This window comes from Homo sapiens, chromosome 3 (genome assembly GCF_000001405.40).
Source record: "Homo sapiens chromosome 3, GRCh38.p14 Primary Assembly".
Classification (NCBI taxonomy): domain Eukaryota; kingdom Metazoa; phylum Chordata; class Mammalia; order Primates; family Hominidae; genus Homo; species Homo sapiens.
Window position 1 is genome coordinate 71,921,195 of NC_000003.12, and position 3,694 is coordinate 71,924,888.

Sequence of the window (3,694 nt, forward strand, 5' to 3'; positions counted from 1 at the left end):
GGGAAACTTGAGGTTCCATGTTACAAAGACCTGCTTGTCCTCTTCAGAGAAGGCGAGGGAGAAAAAGTTTGTTCTTCTGGGCTAAGCCTAAGGGAAAATAAGCTGGTGAATTTCTCACTTTATTTTCAGATATTCTTGCCAAGAAGGAAGGCCCAACTATTAAGGGGTCAGGAGGGAAGCAGGGTTTAGGAGGATTGATCAGGAAGGGTTTTTGGAGGGCTTGGACATTCTTGCCCTCTCTGTCGACAAAGGAAGTCGAGATCGTGTGACCAGGACAGTGAGCTGTGAGCACATTCTCTGTCTGCCAAGACATAGACACCTCCCAAGCCTTCTCTAGGAGGGCAGAGAGGAGTCTCCAAGCCTGTTAGATCCACCAGTTAAATAAATAGGACACAGTTCCTCCACAAGGACCCCTGACCGGTGAGGTTCAAGTGTCTCTGGCTGGACTGGATGTGGTTACAGCTGAGTTGACTTGTGGCCCGTGCCCTGCACGCCCCGTATCAGCCTCAGGTGGAACTCTGCAGGTGTCCACTGCAGGACCACTGCAGGAGTTTGTGCTCGGTCCACCCACCCCAGTCTCCCGCTCTGCTTTCTAGCACCTTCTTGTGGCCCTGAACCTCCAAGAGTCACCTGTCCCAACACCTTTGCACAACCTGTTCTTTCAGACTGTGATGCAACCCTGGAAGTTCCTGAATATACTAACCCACCTTCCTATGTGTATTCAGCCATTTATTGGAGACCACCAATGTGGCGGCTGCTGTGCTAAGCATTGGTGGAAAGTCATTTCTGCACACACATTTGATGCCCTCAAGATGCTCACCATCTGGAGCCCGGGCCTTCAACCTTAGCTGCACATTGCAATCACCTGGAATCATCAGGGAGAACTTCTGATACCTGAGTCTCACCCCTAGAGAGTGATTTCATTGGTCTGACATGTGGCCAGGATATGGGGAGTTTAAAAAGCTTCCAGCTGATTCTAGTGGGAAGAGCTGAGAACCACTGATGCAGAGGTCAGATACGTGAGCAGTTAGAATAGGAGGCGAAAGTGCTGAGAGGTGTCCCAGGGGACACTGCAGAGGGTCCTCCCCGAGCCCAGGTGGAGGAAGGAGGTCAGGGAGGCTTCCTAGGGGAGGTGACCGCTGGGCTGTTTCAAAGGATGAGTAGAAGTGTATTAAGTAACCCAGGATGGGGTTATTGTTGGGGAGAGAGAATGAACTGTAGAAGGAGGAAGGAAAAATGTAGGTAGTTAGGTAGGTAGGTAGGTGGGTGGAAAGTGAATTGGACACTGTGCAATATGAGAGTTCAAAGGTTCTGAGTGGTAAGATAAGGAGCTGGAGAGGTCAGTAGGGGCAAAAGCATGTAGAGCCTTGTATGACTTTAACATGAAGGCAATAGGGAGCTGTCATGCCAAACCCCTATCAACTCCAGTGGGAGTGGCACCATGTTCATGAGATGAAAGAAAAGACCCAGACCTGGGGTTTTATTAGGGGCTTAACATCCAGGGGAGAGAGTCCAGTGGTAGCAGCCTGGACAGGGGAGCTGCAACTGCTTGCAAAAGGCATGCAAGTTTATATAGCATTTTTACTTGGCACCCTTTCCCTAACACTTAAGCCAAAACAAAGGGCCTCGATCCCCTGTACACCCTGTGTTCCACAAAAAGGAATAGGGGTTTAGATGTTCCTCATAGAGAAGGAACGAATCTCTGGGTTGGCCACTCTTGGGTTCCCTAGCTCACAACACACACTCAGGTGACTCAGCCATAAAGGGTCATTCTCATGGTATGCTTGTTATTGTTCTCAGGTGCATTTACCCTAAGGGAGCCATTGAGGGATTGTAAGGTGCGGTGGTAGAGCGGGATGAGATATGGATTTTGGAGCCATCTCAGGCAGCTGTGTAGAGGATGGATTGCCTGGGTAGGAGGGGAGGGAGTGATGGGAATCTGTTAACATTAATAGATCCTCTAGCACTTGTATCCCTCTACAAATACCTCATAATAAATGGATACCATTTTACCCCGGTGTATGGTAGGCAGTCACAGTCACACCTGACAGCAATAGCAATCACTGCCTCAGAATGACCCTTTATGGCAGACTCACCTGCATGTGTGTTCAGAGTTCTTAGCATGGCCAACCTGGAGATCCGTTCCTCATCTATGAGGAACATCTGAGCCCCCGGCCTGTCCAGCAGAACACGGGCTGTGCAGGGGATTGAGGCCCTTTGTTTTGGGTTAAATGAAATTTGCGAGGTGGAGGTGTTAGGTGGAGGGTGCTAAGTGAGGGTGCTATATAAACTGCCTGCTTTTTGCAAGCAGTTGCAGTTTTCCTGCTCAGCCCACCACCACGGACCCTCCCTGTAAGGTTTCCCCTGATGAAACCCCAGATCTTGTTTATGGGCTCTGGGTCTCTTTCTTGGCCTCTGGAGCCTGGTGCCATCCCTGTTGGAGTTAGTAGGGGTCTGACATGACACCAAGGCATAGCCTGGGCCATATACAGAGGTCAGCCATTTATATGCATCATCCCTATGAGGTTGTCATCATCCCCATTTAATGGATGGACAATCCAAGTTAAAGAACTTGCCTGAGACTCACAGGGCTAGTGAGGTGACTGAGTGGACCCCAACTCAGCAAAGCCAGCACTCCTAAACTTTAAGCATTTGTCCCTTCCCACTGCAGACTGCATAGTGTCCTAAGCGCTGCTAGCATCACTCAGGGCTCAGCTAATGTTTGCATTTTAATGAGGGCCTTCTCTTACCTTAAAGCAATGACTTTTCCTAATTGATCCAGATGTCTGATGCCCCAGTGGCACAATCTAAGGATATAAAACCGACTTGCCCCCAGTAAATCATTCTGACTTGCCCAGAAAATTCAAAGGCTTTTAGGCACATGTGTTCATCAGTTCTAAACTCAAGGCAGATCACCAGGACAAGATGGAAGGACTTGAGCTAGGTTACCACATCTCCTGGTCCTAAATCACAAGGGAGAGCAGCTTATTAGAGATGCAGATGCTCCAGGCCTGTTGAATTAGGACCTCTGGGTCTGGCATCTGGGAATCCACACCGCATAAGCGCCCCCTAATAACAGCTTAGAGCAGACAGCTGCTTCAGCTCCTGTGTCTTCAGGAGTGGGGGGGTCTCCTGAAATAATTGTTCCTTCCCCTTCCTTCTGCAGATCATCTTAAAGGATCCCGTGTGCACATGATTTTTGAAGCCCAACATCTCTCTTAACCACCTGCAAATCTGCAGGTCTTGGTACACAGCCTGTTTCCCATGACTGCTCCTGTCCAGCAGATCAAGTGACACGTGCAGTCCCAGGTAGAAGCAATGGGGGAGTGCAAAGCAGATGATCAAGAAGTGAGGGGTGGGGCGAAGGTAATTTGTAGCTGACAGGTAGGTGAGCCTTTCTCCTTTAGCCAAAATGGACTACAGCTTGAGTCTGGCCTAATTTCCTTACTCAAGTGCTTAAGGGCAAAAATCTGTGTCTGCAGGGCTCAAGGTTGCTCTCGCGTGGTAATTGCATGGTGGGATGCCCTAATGAAGGGGTGATCAGCAAAGCCTCTGAGGATTGCTTAGGTTTTAGCAACCTGGTCGCAGAAGGATTTGCTTTGAAAACTAGAATAAGTTGCCTGCCTCAGCAGAAAAGACTTTTATGTAGCAAAGCTAACAAGGAAAACATTGTCTGCAACCGACCCACCAAATA

The 3,694-nt window shown here is 49.2% G+C and overlaps 1 annotated feature.

Annotated features, from left to right (window-relative positions):
• Positions 1 to 501: an enhancer, noted in NCBI's record as "H3K4me1 hESC enhancer chr3:71970346-71970846 (GRCh37/hg19 assembly coordinates)". NCBI's record gives its function as "activates a minimal SCP1, AML or CMV promoter by ChIP-STARR-seq in naive H9 embryonic stem cells {active_cell/tissue: H9 hESC(naive)}" and the evidence as "EXISTENCE:reporter gene assay evidence [ECO:0000049][PMID:30033119]".